Below are 24179 nucleotides of genomic sequence, written 5' to 3' on the forward strand. Positions count from 1 at the left end.
ACCACAGAATCTGCAAATTTGTTAAACTGAAGATTCCTGGTCTCTAGGCCAAAAATGTCTAAGTTAGTAGGCTTAAAGTGAGACCCAAGAATTTGCATTTTTGACAAGTAATCTCCCAGTCTCTCTACATACCTCACTTTAAGAAAGAAGAGGCTAACTCACAGTGATTCAAACCCTGACTGTCTATTAGAATAATCTAGTGGAGAATTTTTTATTTTATTTTATTTTATTTCCATAGGTTTTTGGGGAACAGGTGGTATTTGGTTACATGAGTAAGTTCTTTAGTGGTGATTTGCAAGATTCTAGTGCGCCCACCCAGCACCCCAAAAGCCAGTTCCCAGTCTTACTTAATTAGGAATTCCACCAGGAATGGAACCCTGGTGTGTAGTTTGTTAAAACCTCTCCAGGTGATTTTAAATGTAGCCTGGAGCAGAACTGCTAGAAGGTGAGTGGTGGGAGGAGAGGGGAAAAAAAAAAAAAGTAACTTGGAAGCAGTTTGTGGAGGACTTCTATGCCACGCTCAGAAGTTTGAATTTTACTCCGTGGATAATAGAGAATCATGAGAATTTCCTGAGTGCCTGTAATTATAACTGTTTAGGAAGTTGCCCTGAAGTGCAGAGGAATTGGAGATGGGAAATACTAGAGGCACCCAGAGCCCTTTTAAGAACTCTGCAGTTGGCAAGTGATCCCTCTTATCTTCTGCCAGCTTAACAGTAAATTGTTTCAACTTTGCTGAAAACCAATTTGCAAATGTAAATCATAAGCTTAAAAATCTACTCTTTGACTAAGTAATGCCTCTTCTAGATCCCATGGTAAGTAAATAAAATTATGAGTTTCACGTTGAAGCTAAGTGAAGAAAAAATTTTAAAAAAGAAACAAAATTACTGACAAACATTTGAAATATAAAGACAGTTTTTATAGAAAAAAAGAACTTTGAAAAAATGAATATATGTATTAATGAACAACTACTATGATGCCCTTGAAATTAATTTTGAAGAATATTTCAAGGGAGGAAAAATAGTTATTCACTGAAACGAATAGCATAATATGAAAAATTATAGATATTTAAAAATAAAATTTGGATCTGATATGGTTTGGCTGTGTGGCCCCACCCAAATCTCATTTCGAATTGTAATCTCCATGTGTTGAGGGAGGGATCTGGTGGGAGGTGATTGGATCTTGGGGCAGTTTCCCTCATGCTGCTCTGGTGATAGCGAGGGAATTCTCAGGAAATCTGATGGCTTTAAAAATGGCGGTATCTCCTGTGCTCGCTCCCTCCCGCCTCAAGTGAAGAAGCTCCTTGTTCTGCTTCACCTTCTGCCATGACTGCAAGTTTCCTGAGACCTCCTCAATCATGCGAAACTGTGAGTCAATTAAACATCTTTTGTTTATAAATTGCCCAGTCTCAGGTAGTATCTTTATAACAGTGCGAAAGTGAACTAGTAATATCTTTCTTCAGGCACAACTTTTTTCTGTTTTGTTTTTAAATCAGTAAAAGAAACTGGGTCCTAGAAGCTACAGTGGTCTAAGCAGCAGCAAGTTTATGCATTCATTTTTGTTTTTGTTAAAATACGTTAAAATTGTCACACTGCTGGCACACCTCATTTGCATGAAATTCTGTACCACACTTACTAATTGTAGTAAAGTTTCCCCCTATCTCAGGGAAAAGAAAAAAAACTACTCTGGAATGTAATTTTCTCTGAGATCTAACCGAACTTTGTTAAGTGGATTGGGACAAGATTATAAATGATATGAAAAATAACATTTTGACATTTGTCCATCAAATTTAAGAAAATAATTTGCCTATATAATTTTTCGTAATTTTTTTAAAGATAATATATTCTACCCTCATGTGGTTCTCAGATTTAAACCATAATGAACAGGAAAAAAAAAAAGGGAAAGAATGCAACTGAGTGCTAAGGCAGAACATTGTGGCAGAAGAAATTAATGAAGGTGGAGTATATACTGAATATCAAGTGCAGAATTTCATAGAGCAAACAAGATAACCGTCTATATTTTTCACATATGCAGGCAAAGTGGATTTTGCAATTGCCAGTTACGTTAAATGCACTAAATAAAACTCCTAACATTGATACTATAAGGCACCCCCTTAAGTTTTCCAGTCTGCAACTGTGCATAATTTTAAAATGTTTTTTTGAAAAACATTTTAAGTTTAAATTGGATTCCCAACCTTATTTTTAAAAAGTCACAGAAACAAGAATAGAGAGAAATCTAGCCATGTTTTAACTGGTAGAATTTCGGACGGATATTTGTTTTGTATTTTCCAATTTTTTCAAGTGTGTCTATGTTATTATGTTCAGAAAAAAAAACGTTAAAAAATAAGGCTATTGCAATGGTTTGGTGAATGATGATACATGTGTTGCTTTGTTTGTAAGTCTAGGATAGTCTAGCCTGAGAGCCTGCTATTGAGTAGAACTTGTAGAATGATGGATCATGAACCAAATTGAACAAAGAGAAGCTTCACTCTGGGAAATCTGTACCTACCAACTAGGAGTCAAGATAGGAAAATATAAGGGTATAAGATAGGGAAATTACTAAGAAACAGTCCAGGAATTTTAGTCCAGACACCTTGCATACTACTGAGTAAAAGGTGAGTCTTTAAAGAATTTGCACCAGTTGGATACAGTCTGAACTAAAGCAGTTGCTAAGACTGAAAATGTGCAAGCCATCACCAAGGTAGACAAGACCTGATTCACTGGATATGGGAGGTTAGGAATGCAAGGATTTAGAGATGACACTGAAGGTTTGAATATCAGTTACTGGGAGGACTAACATTTTTTCTTTAAATAAAGATGGAAGATACAGGAGGATGCCCAGATTTGGGAAGAAAAATAGTTTGTGTAGATTATCTTGAAGTGGAGTGGCCATGGAAATATCCAGGTATATATGTAACTGTGAATCTGAAGATCTGAGGAAGTCTGGACTTATGATGAAAATTTGGTAGTTGTCTGCATTGAGGGTAGAACTGAAACCATGGGAAACAATGAAGTCATGAGATAGTGAAAGGAAAGAAGAAGGTGGAGGAGCACATTATGGAACATCCAGTTTTAGGGAGTAGGCAAATAAGAGGCAGTGAAAGAGGCAACAACAAATCAGAAATAGGCAGAGAATTAAGAAAACACAGGCTTATGAAGGTCACTGCAGGAGAAACGTTTAAAAGTTGGTGGTTGAGGTAAAATTCTAAACAAAAATAAAAAAGCCTAAGGACTGGGGTGACCATTTAATATTGGCAATTACGTTTACTAGGGATTTAAAGAAAAATAGATCTGGTAAAATAGTTGAGCAAAGCCAGGTTGCAAGCATTGAGTGGATCAAAGGAGAATAAGTGGTCAGAGGGTCGACCACTCCTCCACATTTGTCAGTAAGAAGAATGAAAGCACTCTGATAGTAAACTATAGAGGAGGAAGATAGTAGATTAATAGTTGTATAGTAATCCTAGGTTTTTACCTATTAAAAACTAGCATGCTGGGTTTCTTTTTGTCTTTTCTATCATTGTGTCCAGCCAGGAAGGTGGAATCTGAAAATGGAATACTGTATGGTATGCTTCGAAAATACCTTAAGATTGTCAGCTTCTATACAGAGATTTGGAGACTACATATAACACTAAACTCTCAGTTATGTTTCTTTTATCTTCTTTTAATCAGTTTTTTTTCAGCTTCTTTGCAGGACAGAACACTAAAGCTTTATGACTTAACTAACACACAGTGCACATTATGATGAGGTGACATAAACACAAATTTGAATTTATTTTTTTATGACTTAAAATCTTTGTGTAATAGCAAAGTTGCTTTACACATACAAATTTTATTATGATTGGAGTAATATCTTCACAATTTCATTACTCAGGCCCATATAACCTATTATGCTAAAATGTGTTATCGATAAGCTAATATCTATTTTAGTGCTTCCTTTTGGTTCAGCTTTGAACAATTGTCACATGGAATGGAGAAAATTTGACTAGTAGAAGTTTAGAGCTGGAGGGGAACTTGGTACCCCTGACATAACATACTCCGTTTGCAATTAAGAAAACCATGGCAAAAAGAGATAGATATTACTGATTTCAAGTTGCTTACTTGTAAAGTTGCCGAAAAATGTGTACTCATGAAATACTAAAACAGGGAGATAATATTTCACACTAGAGTATTTTTTAATATATTATAAAAGTTTCAGTGGATAAAGTGGTGTTAGAGCTATTCTGAAAGAAGTTGTAGGAATCTGAATTTTATGACACTTAATATTGAGAACCATTAAATGTTTTAAGCAGTAAAGTTATATGATGAGTTACACATTTAATGGTGACTAGTTTTGGGAAGACAGAAATTTTATAGTCAGGTATGCCCTACTAAAACATTATTGTATTCCAAATATGCAATGAGGGTCTAGGCTAGAATTTAGAACTTTAAAATGTATTTCTTTTTAAAGTAACAGCAATATTAATCCAAGTCTAAATAACATATTGTTTTTATTCCATGTAACTAGAGTAGCAGTATAGTAAAAACAACATAATAAAATATTTTTAAATATTAGCTATGTGCTAGATGCCTAAGCAGATTGCCTTTAATTTATCCAACAAGCCTTTATTATCCTGAAACCTTCCCAGCATCTATTAAATTTAAAGCCCTTTGTCCATTTTAACTCAAGGTACCTCCACATTTCTTTGGAAACTGTACCTACTAACACTAGCAGTTGTGGACAATTGAGAGACTTATGTATCACTGTTTTAATATATGTGAACATAAGGTACGATCACTTTTTTTGTGAAGACAATTTTGTGAAAATATAAAAGGGTGATGAAGTAGAGCACAGTGTTGATGGTGCCTGCTTCATTAAGGACAGCACATTCCTGGGGGTCTAGAGTAAGAATGCAGTGGTATGGGAAGTATAGGCACCTGTCCTCCATCATCATCATGAATGCCTCTCTGGTCCATGTCTCACCTGTCATTATAGTTCTTTGTCTCAATGACAAGTACCTCTTAACTACATATGTGCCACTGTTGGCCTCATGGAAACCATTTCAATAGTGGTACGTGTTCCAAGAGTTCCCAGGCAAAGCTGTTCTGGGCTCTGTGTGCCTTGCGTGCTGAAATATAGATAATAGCTTTGTGCTTTTTTTTTTTTTTCCTAACTCAGGAAGTTTTAAGTGCCACATTTTGTAAGATAGTGGCTGATCTAACTATGAGGACCTTATTTCTAACCCATTGATTTAGCTAGTAGGAATCATTATTTCTATGTATTTTCTATTTAAATTTTTAAATTTTAAATTGGCTATATCCCTCCCACTGTTCAGTTGTGGTATACTCAGAAAAATCTAAACATTAATCATACAAGGTGAATAAAAGCATAACTATAAAGGCAAAGTTCTCAAAATCATATAATTAGTTTCAGAGTCAAATATTAAAATTATTTGGATTACCCAGTCCTTAAAATTGTCAACTCTTTTAGCTATACAACTTGAGTATAGATTGCAGTTGCTGTGATTATATTTGCTCCTAATTATAATTTTTATTAAGGATAGTTTGGATTTAAGAGAGGCCACACTTTTTTGGTTTGGTTTTCTGGGAAGAGTAACTTTGTTTTAATCATTAACAGAGTTGCAAGTGTAAGTTAACTTTCGTATCTGGCATTTACTCTACCTTAATATAAGGTAGAGAAATAGCCTGGCCTAGTCATTGTTATATGGGTTAAATCTCTCATCTGCTTCTCAAAATAATGCATCTATCTACCATGGACCCACATTTAATGCCTATCTCATTTGAGGGGTGTGTGTGTGTGTGTGTGTATGTGTGTGTATGTGTGTGTGTTGTTAGAAAAGTTCTTAAAACTTTTCAGTAATAAGCCATTATCATAGTAGAAAGAAAGCATACTTTTAAGCTTTGCCTCTTGAGCAAACTGAAGGCCCATTTTAGATCTCAGGCTCACAGGGTCCAGGGAGGTGATATTTAATAAGTTTCTAGAGGTTAAGGCCAATGGTGTGACCTGTGTTCAGTGACTCATTGTTGTTAGAAATTTGCCTCCAGTGATCTATTTGAGAACCAGGCTAGTTTTACATTTTTTATAAGGTCATTCTCCAAGACCTATGCCTCTTAAAAAAAGGAAAATTCTTCACGGTCATATTATTATATTGGAATTCAAGTGCAGGTCTCTGGCCTAGTGTATATCTTCTCTGCCTTCAAAAAACTGTTTTCTTTGTGACTTAAAAAATGAAAAATCCATATCTTTTTTGACTGAAGATAACTTTATACTTTTAACCTATATTTCAGAAAGCCAATCTTTAGAGAAAATGAAATATTTTAAGGGAAAACTAAAGCATAGCCATGCTCTGCAAACTTTTAAAACATTAGTTTCAGGCTGTGATTGCTGTTTTCTATTTGACTTTCAAGTTAGTTTTAATTGGCATAATTTTACTATTTAATAGTTAAGCATTTTTTTAATAATAAGATATAAAGGTGAACAATAAAAAGAACAAAAATAAGTTTATGTTATAAAAAATAAAATTAAAGAGGAAGAATTTTGTATGGGTAGGGTGATGGCAAAGTCAAATAAAATTCAACCACACCATACAGAAGAGCTAGATTAAATCTTGAATGCTTTGTGTTACGTGAGTAGAAAAGAATGATCGCTCTGAATACTTTATAACCTCTAAGAGGAGAGAATGTTGCTGCAGCAATATCTGGGAAATACAATCAGTGTGTCTGAAGCCAGCATCTATTTATCTTAAATTAATCATTTTTTTTTCTGAGTAAGTGGATGATAATCCTGGTGCTGGGTGCCAGTGTCTTTTTATTCATGCCATAGATAAAACTAGAGCACTCCTATGTTGGTGAGAGCTATACAATACAAAAGGTCTCAAGCTGTAACTCTTCTGTAAGATTATAGACAGCTTTATAGATTTGCAACATGATTTTGGGATTGAGAATCAGTAAATAATTGTATCTAAAGTAAAATCTTGTGCATAATCAAGTCTATTTTACCTTTCTGCCCTCAGGAAAGTATAAACAAGGTATTCTAAATATAAGGCAGTAATTTTTCTTCTTCATTATTAAATTCTCTGGTCAAAGAAGTTCCTACAACTGAAGTGGAAAAGCCTTCACTAAATTGTAAACTGTCTGGTTGCTGTTAGTGTGAGCCATAGGGTGAAGAGCAGCATGGTGCCTCTGATGCAGTGAACCTCAAATGACACCACATTGAAGGCCCAGCAATCAGGCTTACATTCAAATATGTACTCACTTTATCTCTTCTGAAAAGAAAACCAGGCCAGGCACGGTGGCTCATGCCTGTAATCCCAGAACTTTAGGAGGCTGAGGCGGGCGGATCACCTGAGGTCAGGAGTTTGAGACCCGTCTGGCCAACATGGTGAAAACCCTTCTACTAAAAATTAGCCAGGCATGGTGGCATGCGCCTGTAATCCCAGCTACTCAGGAGGCTGAGGCAGGAGAATCACTTGAACCCAGGAGACGGAGGTTGCAGTGAGCCGAGATTGCACCATTGCACTCCAGCCTGGGGGACAAGAGTGAGACATCATCTCAAAAAAAAAAAAAAAAAGTAAACCAGGAAAGTAGTCTGGATTTTTTTTTAAGTAGGTCTTCTTTCCTAGGCATTGTCAGTAAGTATTATATTATCATCTTGTCTAGGGTAGAGGGTAGAGTAGCAAGAAGGAAGTGAGATCTCCTCACCTCTAAATTGAACAGTGTACTGGGATTTAACCATCTTCTAACTCTCGCATTATGTCTCAAGAATATATGTGGATATACAAATATTTGTCAGTAGACATTAGACATTGTGATTAAAAGCTGTGAAAAATATGTAAAATACAATGAAATTTTGGTCCTCCTGGAAAAGCATCTAAAAAGAATTCAGAAAGGAATGGAGCAATGACTCAACATATCAGATTTAGTTAAGTGGTACTGATAGCAGGATGAAAGTTAACCTAACTTAAAAATTAGGTAAGGCTATGTGGCTTATAAGAGTTAAGAACTCAACCATTGGTAAGTTATGAAATCCCTTTTATAGACTATGCATAGGGCTCAAGGTGACCCTTAGTCACACTGACAAAATAGTCAGCAACTGGGTTGAAATCCCAGATCAATATAGATCTTCAATTGGCTAAGAAGGTAACCTCAAAACTGTTTGTAGTGATATCATTTCCTTCTTAGATAAAATTCTTTTAACTCTGGAGGATTTGTAATTTATAGTAGAAGTATCTAAAATAACTAAATTTGGCAGCATATTTTTGTATTAAGAGGAGGTGTACACACTTGGTATTTTAAGGATTTCTAATGTGAAAGAATCTGCCTTACTAAGTAACAGGTTAGCTTTTTAATTCCATCTTAAAATGCATAACTGAGTGATTTAGATCTATAATTTTAAATAGAAATCTTACCAAGTTTTATATAACATTGAAACATTTAAGATTTTATGTATGTATACAGAATCTATTATTGCTTGTCATCTATCTATCTATCTATCTATCTATCTATCTATCTATCTATCTATCTATCTACCTATCTATCTACCTACCTACTTACTTACCAATCTACCAACCTACCTACCTATCTACCAACCTACCTACCTATCTACCTTCCTTCTGAGCTATTTGATTTGTCAGCCAGGCAATTTTAAAGGAATTGTCTTTAAAGGAAGGATTTTTAAAAATTGGGCCAATGATCAATTGAAATCCTCTTATACTATTAAAATATGCTAGACTAATAATTTATAAATTGATTTTAAAAACTTGAGGGTAAGTCAGGTTTTGAATTTGCTAATTTGACAAATTTATATTAAGCTTTAAAACCAAAGTAAACCCATGAATTTTTTTATGCATAACAGCTTCTCTCAAGGACACAGAAACACTTTTTATTGACAGTATTGATTTGTCTTCTCCCTTATGAGAATGTGAGGAGATAGAAGTCAACACACATAGTTAGTTAAGAGTGAGTGCTTCCTGCCCCAAATGTTCCCAGTCTTTCAGCACAGTTGCTTCTCTTAGCAGTGGAAGGTGGCCATCTTCAATATCAGTAACCATCCTGACCTTTCTGAGACCAAAGGCCAAGTAGCGATGGACCAACCTGAGAAATTGCTCTCATGTATTCATGCCAAGTTTCCACTCCTTTATTGTTTTATATGACACAGGTAATATACATTTCTTATAGAACATTTAGAAAACAAACATAGCCAACAAGAAGATGATATTCACTTGTATCTCGTAACCCAGATAAATTAACCACTACCAATGTTCCGTGATGCTCCTCTGTAATTGCAATTGCGTACAGATGTGTTTAGTTTGAAATATAATGAGTTTTAGTTAACAGGTATCCCTGATAATGTTGCACACTCTCACTCACACAGTCATGCTTTTTTTTTTCTGCCTTGTATTATAATTATGGTTTTCTACCTTGCTTTTACCACTTAGTAACATGTTATGAATTCCTGTTATTAGTAAAATAAAAATAAGAACTAAAAGTACTTTAAAATATATTTAAAGACAATGTAAAAGTGTATAAAAATCATTAAAAAGAGCTGAGCCCAGGGCCTCATGCCTGTAATCCAGCACTTAAGGAGGCCAAGGCAAGTGGATTGCCTGAGCCCAGGAGTTCGAGACCAGCCTGGGCAATATGGCAAAACCTCATCTCTACAAAAGTCCAAAAAAAAAAAAAAATTATCAAGGTGTGGTGCTGCACACCTGTAGTCCCAGCTACTCGAGAGGCTGAGGTGGAAGGATCACCTGAGTCCAGGGAGATTAAAGTTTCAGTAAGCTGTGATTGCTTCACTGCACTCTAGCCTGGGCAGCAGGGCGAGACCCTGTCTCACATTTAAAAAAAAAAAAGCATAAAAAAGTATTAAAGCGTAAACAATAAAGCAATAGCTTTATGTTTAATGGCTGCATAAATTCCAATGTACAAATGCACTTTGTTAAATAACCTTCCAATCTTCAGCATTTTAAATTGCCTACTTTTTTGTTAAAATAAGCAACAGTCTATGAACATCTTTGAATCTTAGCTAATTCATTTTACAATTTAAGTAATTTCAGATGTAAAATATGTGGCAAAATGATTATGTATTTTGTAAGAGTTTGACAAATATTTTCAAGTTATCCTACAGAAAGATGAACCAGTTTATGCCCAGGAGTTGCTTCTTAGTTAAAACCTTGATAGGATAAACTGAGAAACCCACCAAAATTAGAATGCCCATCTCAGAATTAAAAAAAAAAAACATTAAAAAACAGACTAAATAGATACTAGTTTTGTTATCAGAAACAGTTGAGTTTAAGGTGTGAGGTGCTCTTATGTTAATTCTCTGACCAAACCTAGCAAAGATCCTGCCATTACATCAAAGTGTTGCACTGGGGTTGTCAGAAATACCAACTGTATGGCTGTTGGTTTGCAGCCAATAAACAAGCAAAAAAGCTCAACATCACTGATCTTTAGAGAAAATTAAAACCACAATGAGATACAATTTCACACCAGTCAGAATGACAATTATTAAAAAGTCAAGGAACAACAGATGGTGCGGAGAGATACGAACACTTTTACACTGTTGGCGGGCATGTAAATTAGTTCAGCTATTGTGGAAGGCCAAGAACCATAAATACCATTTGACCTAGCAATCCCATTACTGTGTATATACCCAAAGGACTATAAAACATTCTATTATAAAGGTACATGCACATATATGTTTACTGCAGCACTATTTACAATATCAAAGATATGGAATCAACCCAGATGCCCATCAGTGATAGATTGGATAAAGAAAAGGTGGTACATATACACCTGGAGTACTATGCAGCTATAAAAAAGAATGAAATCATGTCATTTACAGGGGCATAAATGGAATTGGAAGCCATTATCCTCAGCAAACTAACACAGGAACAGAAAACCAAATGCCGTATGCTCTCATTCATAAGTAGGAGCTGAACAATGAGAACATATAGACATAGGAAGGGGAATAACACACACTAGGGCCTGTGAGACAGGGGAGGGAGAGCATCAGAAGAAAATAGCTAATGTATGCTGGGCTTAATACTTAGGTGATGAGTTGATAGGTGCAGCAAACCACCATGGTACACATTTATCTCTGTAACAAACCTGCACACCCTGCACATGTACCCCAGAACTTTAAAAAAAATTGAGAACTTTTTGATGATCATATACCATGTAATATCTTTTGTCGATAAATTCTCATATACACTGGAAATCTCCGCTTCTTGTTACAGTAGCCTCTACCAGAGTAATTAAAATCATGTAGGAGTGGTACAACCTTTCTTAACACAGCCAATATAGATTTCATGGTATAATAGTTGAGTACTTAGGCACCAGCCAATAATCCATCCCTATGAATCCAAGGAAGATTGTCCTTCATCCATTCCAAAGAAATTGACCTTTATCCAGTCCAAAAGTCATTTAATTTTGTCTTTAATATTTCTGGTAATATAGTGTCCATTACCCATGTGAAAAATTAGTGTGCACTTAACATCCATTACGATGGCTACTATCAAAAAAACAGAAAATAACAACTGTTGACAAGAATGTGGAAACATTGGAATGCTTGTACACTGTTGATGGGATTGTAAAATGGTGCAACCACCATGGAAAACTGTATGGAGGTTCCTCAAAGCACAAAAATAGATTTACCAGATGAGTCAACAATCCCACTTCTAGGTATGTAGCCAAAAGAATCAAAAGTAGGGTCTCCAAGAGATATTTGCCCACCCATGTTTATACCAGCACTATTCACAATAGCTAAGAAGTGGAAGCAACACAACTGGACACTGATGAATGAATTGATTTAAAAATGTGGTGTGTGTATGTATATATATGTACATGTGTATGTACGTATATATACATATACACAATATTATTCAGCCTTAAAAAGGAAGGAAATCCTGTCACACACTACAACACGAATGAACCTGGAAGACATGCCAAGTGAAATAAGCCAGTCACACACACACACAACCAAATACTGTTTGAGTCCACATATATGAGGTATCTAAATTAGTCAAATTCCTAGAAACAGAAAGTAGAATGGTGGTTACTAGGGACCAAGGAGAGGGGAAAATGGGGAGTTGTTTAATGGATATAACATTTCTATTTTGCAAAAAAAAAAAAGTTCTGGAGATGTGAATGTACCTCACACTATTGAACTGTAAACTTAAAAATAATTAAAATGGTAAATTTTATGTTAGGTGGTTTTTACCACAATTAAAAAATGGTGAATTACATGTAATGTCAATTATATTTTAATTTTAAAATTAAAAAATAGTTTCCCATAAATCTTATATAGAGTTTTAAAAACATGTTTAATTCTCTCACGCCTATAATACCAGCACTTTGGGATGCTTAGGCGGTTGGATCATGAGGTCATGAGATCGAGACCATCCTGGTTAACACGGTGAAACCCTGTCTCTACTAAAAATACAAAAAATTAGCCAGGCGTGGTGGCGGGCGCATGTAGTCCCAGCTACTCCGGAGGCTGAGGCAGGAGAATGGCGAACCTGGGAGGCGGAGCTTGCAGTGAGCCGAGATCACGCCACAGCACTCCAGCCTGGGCCAAAGAGCGAGACTCCATCTAAAAAAAAAAAAAAAGAAAAGAAAAAAATGTTTAATTCTCTGTGTGCGGTTTGCTAAATATTTTTAAGTGTTATTATATTTTCTTATGTAGACTAAGGTTTCTTACTGTAGTTGTTTTTACATGGCATCAATTTCTTCATGTTTTTGATATAAACTCTTTTCTCGCTACTAATATATGAGATCCATATTATTCTGTTGAAATTCAACATAACAAAATGTATCTTGGATAAAGTCTAGACATAGGAAAGAAGTTTATTGTGTTAAATACTAGAAACTTAGGACAATTTTTCAAGTCATACCCGTCCTTTTTGAAATGTAATTTGGAAATATTCTTAAGATCCACATAAACTTATATATTTTCTTATCTACAGGGTATTTTATCCATTAAAGATGCTACATTAGTTATATAGTTGTTATACACTTAACTACTCTAAGACCCTTAGCAACAGTCCATGCATAATTGCTTGGAGTTTTAAATGCTAAAGAAAAATGGTGAATTTGCACTCACTAGGTTTTGTAGTGAATTCTTGACATGCATAGCCAATGCACCATCAGGCTAAATAGTACTCATGAAGAAACAGAGATAAGACACTTCTGGAAGTGTGAAAATTCTGATTTGAGAGAAATGTATGCAGAATTGATATTTATAGTACTTATTTTCTGGCTCTAATATGTTATATATTCTGCTCTTGGATATTGGCTAATTATCATGTCAGTAAATGCTGTATCTGGAAAACATTTTGTCAAGTGAATAAGACTTTTCATATTTCTGGTAAAAGAACAGTATATATACTTTTATACATGTTTCCAAAGATCAAACAGCTTTAAAAAGGTGTACATCTGGCTATTATTTAACCAGACTGAATAATGCATGAAAGAATGTAGACTCTTTGGAATAATGTGTTATTTTAATTCTTACATGACTCTGTTACAGAGCAAGTTTATTTCCATTCTGAGGTTTGATGTATAATCTTTCTAGTCATAGAACCATATGAACCAATCACTGTCTCTTACCTCCCTTCAAACACACACACACACACACACACACACACACACACACACACACACAGAAAGTTTAATGATAATAGCACTTTTTCTACTCATATACTCATAGATTATGATGAGACTCAGTTGAGGCAACTTAGTTCATTGAAAAGACCATGGATTTCATGTAAAGACAATTTGGGGTTTAAATTTGGCCTCTATATTTTATTATAATTGGAACATTAAGCTATGAATGAAATCTTAGACAATTTTCTAATTTAAAAAATGGGAATAGATGCCAATGCCTACCTAAAGTTGTTGTGTAGAGCAAAATTTGATAATATTAAGTGTCTAATGTAAACTCTGACATCCAATAAAAGTTTCTTCCTTCTCCTTCATTTCCTACAGAAAGATTTGAATTTTTTACTTTTGTTTCCCCTTACTTTTCTTTCATCTTGAAAAAACACAAACAAACATGTCAAGTTTATAACTGAAGACAGATAAGAAAAATTTTGAATAGTACCCTGTTTATAATCCTGAGCTTTTAGTGGAATTATTTCTGAGGATTAATCTTGTCCTGCAAATTTCTTGGTTTAAAAATAATATATATATTCTTATATATACATATATGTGTGTGTGTGTGTATATATTCTTACATATATGTATATATGTGTTCATACATATATGTATTATGTATATTCTCACATATATGTATGTATGGCATAGATAAATTACAATAAAAGAATATTCTAAATGTTATATATAATAAAATATATAAAATATATATTTTTATATATTCTCTATATATAACATTTTAAAAGTTATTTTATTATTTAATTGTAATCTCTTATCTATGCTATCCATATGATTCTGTAGAAACTCAGTATAACAAAATATAACTTGGACAAAAGCTAGGCATAGAATACAATTTATTGTGTTTAATACCAGAAACCCAGTACAGTTTTTCAAGTCAAGTTTTTTCCATATTAGAATACCAGTTAAAATTAGTGTGAGGCTGTGTTATTATTAGGATATGTATATAACTATATGTTAGGTATGTTATTAGAATATATTATATATATTATTATTATGATATATAATGTCCCTTGTATGTAACCAATCTCACATTGTTGCTGTTCCTTCCCCCTTGTGGGCACCTTTCCCCACTTGGTCATGCTCTGATATCCCATGCAAGGTAGCTCCTCCTTCCCAATGTCCTCCTTCACCTTCTCAGGCTCTGACACCTTTCTGACACTTTCACTGTGTAGTTCCACCCACTGGATAACACTTTCTCAGCCTGCTTAGGTTCCCACACACCGCACTCGGCTTTCCTCTTTTGCATATGTGTACCTCCCTGCTCTTTTGGGGCTCTGTCTTCCCATGCCAAGCTGCCTTCCTCTCCCACTGCATGGTCACCATTTTTAACCTGCTCATGCTCTGTCAGCACACTCTAGGACACCCATTCACATAGCCCTCTTTACCTTTGTCAAGCTCCAGAATCCCATTTTGGTCATTCTTTCTCAAAATGTGGACACTTTCCACCCTTCTTGGTTTCTGTCACCCCGTACCAGGCCTCTTGCTGTTGAATGCTCTTGCTATCCTACTCCGACTCTAAATATTTCACACCAGGCAATTCCTCCCTCTTTTGGCAGGATATCCTCCGCACCCAACTTCAAATTTAACACCCCTCATTGAGCTTTCCTCTTGCATGAATGTCCTCATCACCCTGCTCAGACTCCGTTACCCCATGCCAAGCTGCACTCACATGCAGATTCCCTTCCTATTACACTGGGTTCCAAATCCCCTTTGCTGTGCCTTCTTCCTGTGTGGATGCTTCATTCACCTTGCTTAGACCTAAAACCATAAAAGCTGCAGAAGAAAACCTAGGCAATACCATTCAGGATATAGGCATGGGCAGGGACTTCGTGTCTAAAACACCAAAAGCAATGGCAACAAAAGTCAAAATTGACAAATGGGATCTAATTAAACTAAAGAGCTTCTGCACAGCAAAAGAAACTACCATCAGAGTGAACAGGCAACCTACAGAATGGGAGAACATTTTTGCAATCTACTCATCTGACAAAAGGCTAATATCCAGAATCTACGATGAACTCAAACAAATTTACAAGAAAAAAACAAACAACCCCATCAACAAGTGGGCAAAGGATATGAACAGACACTTCTCAAAAGAAGACATTTATGCAGCCAACAGACACATGAAAAAATGCTCATCATCACTGGCCATCAGAGAAATGCAAATCAAAACCACAATGAGATACCATCTCACACCAGTTAGAATGGCGATCATTAAAAAGTCAGGAAACAACAGGTGCTGGAGAGGATGTGGAGAAATAGGAACACTTTTATGCTGTTGGTGGGACTGTAAACTAGTTCAACCATTGTGGAAGTCAGTGTGGTGATTTCTCAGGGATCTAGAACTAGAAATACCATTTGACCCAGCAATGCCATTACTGGGTATATACCCAAAGGATTATAAATCATGCTGCTATAAGACACATGCACAGGTATGTTTATTGTGGCACTATTGACAATAGCAAAGACTTGGAACCAACCCAAATGTCCAACCATTATAGACTGGATTAAGAAAATGTGGCACATATACACCATGGAATACTATGCAGCCATAAAAAATGATGAGTTCATGTCCTTTGTAGGGACATGGATGAAGCTGGAAACCATCATTCTCAGCAAACTATCTCAAGGACAGAAAACCAAGTACCGCATGTTCTCATTCATAGTGAGAACTGAACAATGAGAACACATGGACACAAGAAGGGGAACATCACACAGTGGGGCCTGTTGTGGGATGGGGGGATGGGGGAGGGATAGCATTGGGAGATATACTTAATGTAAATAATGAGTTAATGGGTGCAGCACACCAACATGGCACATGTATACATATGTAACAAACCTGCACCTTGTGCACATGTACGCTAGAACTTAAAGTATAATAAAAAAATTAAAAAAAAATTCCACCATCCCTTAAAAGGCTGCTCTCTCCATAGGCAGTTAGCGCTACCAACCTAATGGCTCTATGGTGGAATTGTCCATGAAGGGAAAGGAAAGAAAGGGAGAGGATACAGAAAAGATTATTAGTGACTTGCTCTCTATTTTAAATATTTAATTGCATTTATAAAAGTAAATATTTTATTCTAGAATAGCTTCAGGTTTGCAGAAGGCTTGCAAAGGTTGTTCAGGGAGTTCTGGTATACCCTGCACCCAGTATACCTAAGATCTTCCATTGGTGTGATATATTCATCACAACTAATAAACCAATATTATGGTACATTTTGTATCAACATCCATAATTGACTATGATTTCCAGTAACATTTTTAAAGAGGAGAAAAGGATTTCATCTGTTTTTTTGCATTTATCCTGTATCTTACAATTTCCCCCCCTGAACTGAACTGTTATTCCAATAGAGGAACACTGAAATTACTGGTGTGATAGGAATTCCCTAGGATATTGTCCTCCTCTTTATAGATTTTTGTGGGGAGTTGCTATTGTAACCTATAATCTGCAGCCCAGCATTCCTTTTTTACTGGACAGATAATTTTGTGAGATGAGGCCTGTAAAGTGCTTGGCATTGTGCTCAGGCCACTTTATTTCTCAGGCACTGGAGCAGAGTGCTAGGGGACTATAGGTTTTTCAGTGACTGTAAAAGAAAAAGTTTGAGATGAGGAAAAGAAATTGTCCCTGGAACCTATTTTTAAAACAGCAAAATCTATAATAAATGAATAAATGTTTTATTAAATGTCCATGAAGCATAACATTATATCAACTTCATGAGCTATTAAACTTATTAGTCACAAAAATGTCATTATACTTGAAAAAATATCTGTAGGTTAGATTTTCTTCACCAAAAATCTCGAGTTGGCATAAAGTCATTGCTGATAAATTAGGGATTATCCTAATTAAATAAATAACATATAGCCAAAAATTTTGGAAGCAAAGGGGATAATAATTATGTCCATTTTTTTCTTAGAAAAATATATATTAATGAAAGATAGTCAATTTTAATATACCGTTATGATGCACATGAAAGTAATAAAAATGTCCCACCTACAATGTAGTGAGTGATCAGCAAATTTTACTTCTCTTTCTTTCTTCTATAAACAAATATTTTGTATCATGGGGAATTATAAGATAATAATGTAGAAAATGCATGCATTGGCAAATTCCAACAGGAGATTTGATTATTTGAGTTCATTTTGAGGGGATTCCATAGCATAGGATATAGGAAAAATAAACTTAGACTTGTAGTCAGAAGCCCTGGGTGACTTTCTCCTCTGCCACTTAGTTACTCATTAATGTTAGAAGGCTGTGTGTTGCCTCAGAGCTTTGATATCATTATCTGTATAGTGGGAATGCTAATCATATCTGTGTATCAACACTAAAGTACTGCTCATGAAATCACTCAATGAACTGTCAGGTCTATCACAATATTAGATGAAATTGCTGGTCATTATTCTTGTTGTTGTACTACTATGTCCTTTCTTTAGAAGTATGTCAGAACCAGTGAGGTTGATATAATTAGAACATTTTAGGCTCCTCATACAGCTTTCAATGTCAATTTTCAGAAAAATACAGATTATTTAAATAAACAGCAGCAGGAGATAGTAGCGTGATTGACTGTATTTTCTTCACTGCCCATTGTGATACCCTGTGAAAGTATATCCACATTTTCTTTTTTTTGTTTTGTTTTGTTTTTTGAGACAAAGTCTCTTTCCGTCACCCAGGCTGGAATGCAGTGGCGCGATCGTGGCTCACTGTAACCTCCACCTCCCAGGTTCAAGCAATTCTCCTGCCTCAGCCTCTTGAGTAGCTAGGACCACTGGTGCATGCCTCCACACCTGGCTATTTTTTTTTTCTTGTATTTTTAGTAGAGACGAGGTTTCACCATGTTGGTGAGGCTGGCCTCGAACTCCTGACTTCAAGTGATCAGCCTGCCTCAGCCTCCCAAAGTGCTGGAATTACAGGTGTGAGCCACCGTGCCTGGCCAGTATGTCCACATTTTCTATGTCTCCTTGATTTATTGATGGTTCCAATGAAGAGGGGGTTACCTGAGGCATTTTGGGGCAGACACCTCATGATAGATCCCACCAACTTCTTTCTGCCTGCTCTCTTGGAAGATATATACCCATCTTGAATGTTTCCTGCTTACTGACTTGTCCTAGGGACACAAAAGTGCTAAGTGTATACACTTTTATCATAAGTTTTAAAAATCCACAAATAAAATTAAAAAACTATTAAAAAATTTCCCCTTCAATAATTATATGAAGAACATGAATTGCTAGGTAGAAAGTCATTATAAAAATACATATACATTTAACAGTTTCATTGTTTTCCAAAAAATTTAGCGCAATTATTCTGAAAATTAAAAGAAATTATGATTCCACTGCTTGAAATCCTGGCATTTATTGAAGATTCCTCAAAAGAACTGACCCATTTGTATTGGCAGGGTCATAAAACTGCTCAGAGTTTTGCTCAGGAAGCATAGTTTGTCCTGTGAAGCTTCTTAAGGGTAACTTTTCAACACATTATAAATATTTTAAATCAATTGGTTGAACTTAATGTCATTTAAGTTGTAATGAAAGCTCTACTCAAATGCTGTGCCCTGAAAGGACAAGATAATAAATAAAGATATATATTTTTGCCACTTATTTTTTAGCAAGTCCTGCTGAAATGGGAGAATGTTTTAAATTACAAAGCAATTTAAGAATTCTAAGGAGGGCATATAGATTCATAACTTGTTGCATCTTTTGTAGGATACAGCCAGCCTGTACTTCATGATACAAAACATTCTACAAAAATATGTTTGAGAAGTCAAATGTCTAAAAAAATACAATAGACTTTTTTATGGTATGGGTATAATATTTCACTTTTGGGAAGCTATCAATGAGTACCATTTCTTAAGCATCATCCCTGCTGGCAGTGCCTTTGCCTCCTAGGGTTCAGGTGTTCCAGTGAGTGGGTTCAGACCTTCACAGGCAGCAGGAGAGGCAATTGCCTGCCCATTATCTCCTGGGAAAAAGAGAAGTCAAGCCATGAGCCTCCCTTTCTCATAGGAACGTTGTCTCTGTCTGATCCTTTCCATGGGGACTTGATCTGAATTCTGGGTGGCTTGCAGTTGTTAAGTCACTTGAAGTAGATGCCTGTAATGTTCTGGAGCATGGTGAAGGGAAAAGTGAGTGGGATATGCCAGGCTTATGTATGTGGCTGCCTGTGGGAAACTCTCTAGCTGTCTTCTAAAGCAGCACTGCAAGTTGCCTTTTCTTATTGCTGTTCTCACTGCCTGCAATTGAATGAGGACTGAGGAGGAGGGAAGGATTTGGAAAGAAAGAGAATAAGTTGGGTAAGGGGGTGCTGGCAGTGACGGTGACAATGTGTGAACTGATAGGTGTCTGAGAGTCCTAGGAATCTGCATGGGACCCCTCAGCATTGAAGAGAGAAGGGAGGGGAGAAAAGACTGTGAATATGCTGCAGTGAGAATTGTCAGAAAGCAGTTTGTTTTTTGGCTTGGCTGGTGCTGCTACAATTAATAGCCTAAAAGTGTCACAGCTACCTCATGAGGGCTGACTTTTCTTCCCTTGCTCAAACCTCCATGGGTATCTCTAAATCATTGTCAGTCAATTCTGGAATAAAATTGTGAATTTGGCCTACAGAAGGTGGTTTAGGGCATGACTTAAAATATACAAACATATCTATTATGTAAATGTCAAGAATCACCTTTTCCATGTGAGTGTATTGAAAAAACTGTTATACACCATAATTCCCTGGTCACAATAGCTCCTGAACAAGTCAAATCTATATCAAGTCCAAGTCTAGCGAGCATTGCTAAGTGCTCACATTAATTCCAAAGTACAGTTTGTATTTACTTAAATCCTACTTTAAATAAAAGAATTAAATGACCAGATAGATATGATGAATCTATATGTGACTTTACTCGATATTTTCAGTTGTTTTTCTGTGTGTTGCCAATAATTACAAATGGTGTTCATAAAATCCCAATATTTCCAATACGGATATACTTTAAATTTTAAAATGTATTTCTTGTATATGCAGTACCATGGAAAGGAGGAGAATATAATATTGAATATAGTATATTTAAACAATATCCTTTGGCCACGTGCAAGGTTATTGTAAACTTGCAGAAATTATAGAATTAAAACCTTATAACCATCTCTCACAGGTACTTCTGAAGGAGAAATACCAAAGTCAAACATTCTTTTAGAAAAATATTGGCTTCTTTTCTTTCAAAATACCATTTCTAACTAATTATAAAATCAAAGGAAACCACTATAGTTTTAAAAGTATCTGTTTTGGCTAGTTGAGGAAAGTCAGTTATTATTCAGCTCACGTAACATAGTTCATCTTATATATGTAGCATTTTTATTACTGTTCTAGTACTGATTTTAGTTCATTGCAATTTATGCTATTTGCGCTCTATTTGAAACACTTTTTTACTTCATATAGAAGCAAAAAGTATGAGGAATGCTGGAGCACCATTGGCTTTTGGAACCATTCTATTCTGTTATTGTAATGAAATTATTAATTTAAGGTGGAAATCCAAAATGTTCTGTATGGTATGGTGCTAGTACAAACGGTCATTGACTCCTGTACAAATTAAGCTGCAACACTGTTTAGAAAGATTGTGGGACTGTAAGACCAACTAATTATACTTATCCATTTTCTTTTTATCACAGTGATTTTCTTATCAGAGTTCTTAAGGCAATGCAACTATATAGGAAAGATCTTTTACTAGTGCTAGTTGAAACTTCTGAAATAGCCTTGGTTGTATGAAGAATTTTTTTAAGTGAGAACCAAAGCCAGATTTATTTTTATGGGAACTAAAAACATGGATACTCAACCTCGATTAACCTCATGATAGTTTAAATACAACTAATCTTGGTTTCTTGTTTATCGAGTCATTTTCTCTACTTAAAGTTTATTAATATTATTGTCATTACTGTTTATAGTTATCGCTAAATACAGCCCACAGGCCAGTTGGTGCTGAAAGGGAAGACCTTTTATCCTATAATGTTTAATTACTTCTTTCAGCTTGGGAAAGTATGGGCAGAAAGATAGTGAACTTTAGCATAAGAACAATTGAACAAAGTTCTATTTAGTCTGATGGTTTTCCTCAATTGTAAAATTGATTCTCTTGATCAATAGTGTAGAGAGAAAAAAAGGTAATGCTGCAGAGAAGTGAGGTGGAAAATGGTACCATTCAATAGGACTTGACAGCAGCACCACAATCTTGTAGTGGCATAGATTCCAAGAATAGCTCTGTTCATGGCCACTAGTAAATACAAATAAAATAAGCAAACACAATTTAAATTATTTTCCACTTTGATTTAGTCACATCATTTGTTTTGTCCATTATTTTGACAGAGTCCTCTAATGAAGCATTTACTTGGTACAAAGAATTGTGTAAGGGATGGCAGATATATTGTTAGAATTTTCTATGTAAGTCTAGTTATAAAAATGCAATAAATAGGCCGGACACAGTTGCTCATGCCTGTAATGTCAGCACTTTGGGAGGCTGAGGCGGGTGTACCACAAGGTAAGGAGTTCAAGACCAGCCTGGCCAATATGGTGAAACCCCATCTCTACAAAAAAATACAAAAATTAGCCTGGCGTAGTGGCAGATGCCTGTAATCCCAGCTACTTGAGAGGCTGAGGCAGGAGAATTGCTTAAACCTGGGAGGCAGAGGTTGCAATGAGCCAAGATCGCATCACTGCACAGCCTAGGCGACAGGGTGAGACTGTCTAAAAAACAAAACAAAACAAAACAAAAAACCAATACATATATAAATATACAAATACATTCAGTGAAGTCATAGTGCATATATACAGTAGTGAGTGAAATACTCAAAACACAAAATACTCAGTGATCTCCATGATGCCTCTTGCACAGGTATAAACAGCCTGGACAGTAATTTTTCCTGAGAATGCAAGAATATGAACTTAGATGTACTTGAGATTCAGATGTATTATACTGACAAAGGTGTTTGACAAATTATCTCCTGACTGATGCCACAATTCAAGATGGGATAAAGGATTTTCTAATAGATAAAGGTCACCAGGAGAATTTTAGGGGTCTGACAGGGGGTGCCAGGCTCAGAATCAGGGCATAGATGGTGGGAAGGAAGGCGGCAGGTACGAGATTTCAGTGGGGAATGGCAGTGGTTTCCAGTGCAGTGAGCTGAGTACAATTGGGTACCACCCTTCTCAGTCCCCAGGTACCATGAGCATGTGGCAAATTGTAAATCACTAGTTGGACAAGGACAGCTTCTACTATTGGGATCTATGGATGTGCTCACTGATGGCTGGACACTAGAAAAGGAAGGTGTTTGCTTACTGGCTTGAGAGAACAATGAGAAGAAGAGGAAGAAAATGTCAGTAAAAAAGAAAAGCACTGATGGAAGCATAAGACCTGAAGAGGCTACAGAATGCAGGAGGTCCTATGGTGGCCACCCCAGAAAGAATGAGCAGCAGCCTGAATGCTCAGAGAGAAAGGAAAATGGGACAGCTGCAGATGGCAACTCACAGATTGCAGCCTAGATGCTCGCTGGCCTGCTACTCTATCCCTGACTTCACATGTACAATAGCCTGTGTCCTCTGGTCTCCATGGTGCAGAGAGGTCAAAGTACACTGGTCTGGTTTAGCCTTCTCTACAATCCCAATTTTTCTGAGAGCATTAGAAAAGACAAAAGAAATGGGAGTGCTAAGCATTTGGTATATGAGGGTGATATGGTTTGCCTTTGTTTCCCCACCCATATCTCATCTTGAATTGTAATCCCATAATCCCACATGTTGTGGAAGGGACCCAGAGGGAAGTAATTGCATCATGGGGGCGGTTAGCCTCATGCTGTTCTTGTGTTCTTGTGTTGTTGATGGTTACATAAGAGGCATTTCCCCCACTTCCTCCACATTTCTCCTTGCTGCCTCCATGTGAAGAAGGACATGCTTCCTGTTCCTTCCACCATGATTGTAAGTTTCCTGAGACCTCCCCAGCCATGCAGAACTTTAAGTCAATTAAACCTCTTTCTTTTGTGAGTTATCCAGTCTCAGGTATTTCTTCATAGCACTGTGAGAACAGACTGATACGTGGGGCTACTAAATCAACATATGTACAAACTTTACCTTATCTAGCACCTTCAAATCAATGTTGTTTAAACACCACTTCTTGACCTGTTCCTGGCCCTTTCATCTATTTCTTCACTATCTCCCATAAGCTTGATGGTGAATAAAGCTCATTTTGTGTTATCATTGACTTTCTGGCTCTGTCCTTGATTTCAAACATTGCATCTGATGCATTCCAGATCGTGGAACCCTATCCCAGAATTAAAGTTAAGTTTGTCTTAGCCTTTATAAGTGTGGAGTAGGCAGACAAAATAATACGATCAAAGACTTACAATCAGTAGTAATGATCAAACAGGTCTATGAAGGAAGTTTAGAATAAATAGCTAATGGGTTATAAAAGTTCTGAATGGAGAAGGCAATCTTAATCATGTATAGCTATATCACTGAGGGGAAATCCAAATGATCCTGGCTTTGAAAACGGCCTTAGAAACTTCTAA

The 24179-nt window shown here is 36.1% G+C and overlaps 1 protein-coding gene across 1 annotated transcript in view; it reads left to right on the forward strand.

Annotated features, from left to right (window-relative positions):
* The window catches only part of ZNF804B (zinc finger protein 804B), a 578829-nt gene that overhangs the window by 41137 nt on the left and 513513 nt on the right, over positions 1–24179 (forward strand). The window lies entirely within an intron of this gene.

Source organism: Homo sapiens, chromosome 7 (assembly GCF_000001405.40).
Source record: "Homo sapiens chromosome 7, GRCh38.p14 Primary Assembly".
NCBI lineage: Eukaryota > Metazoa > Chordata > Mammalia > Primates > Hominidae > Homo > Homo sapiens.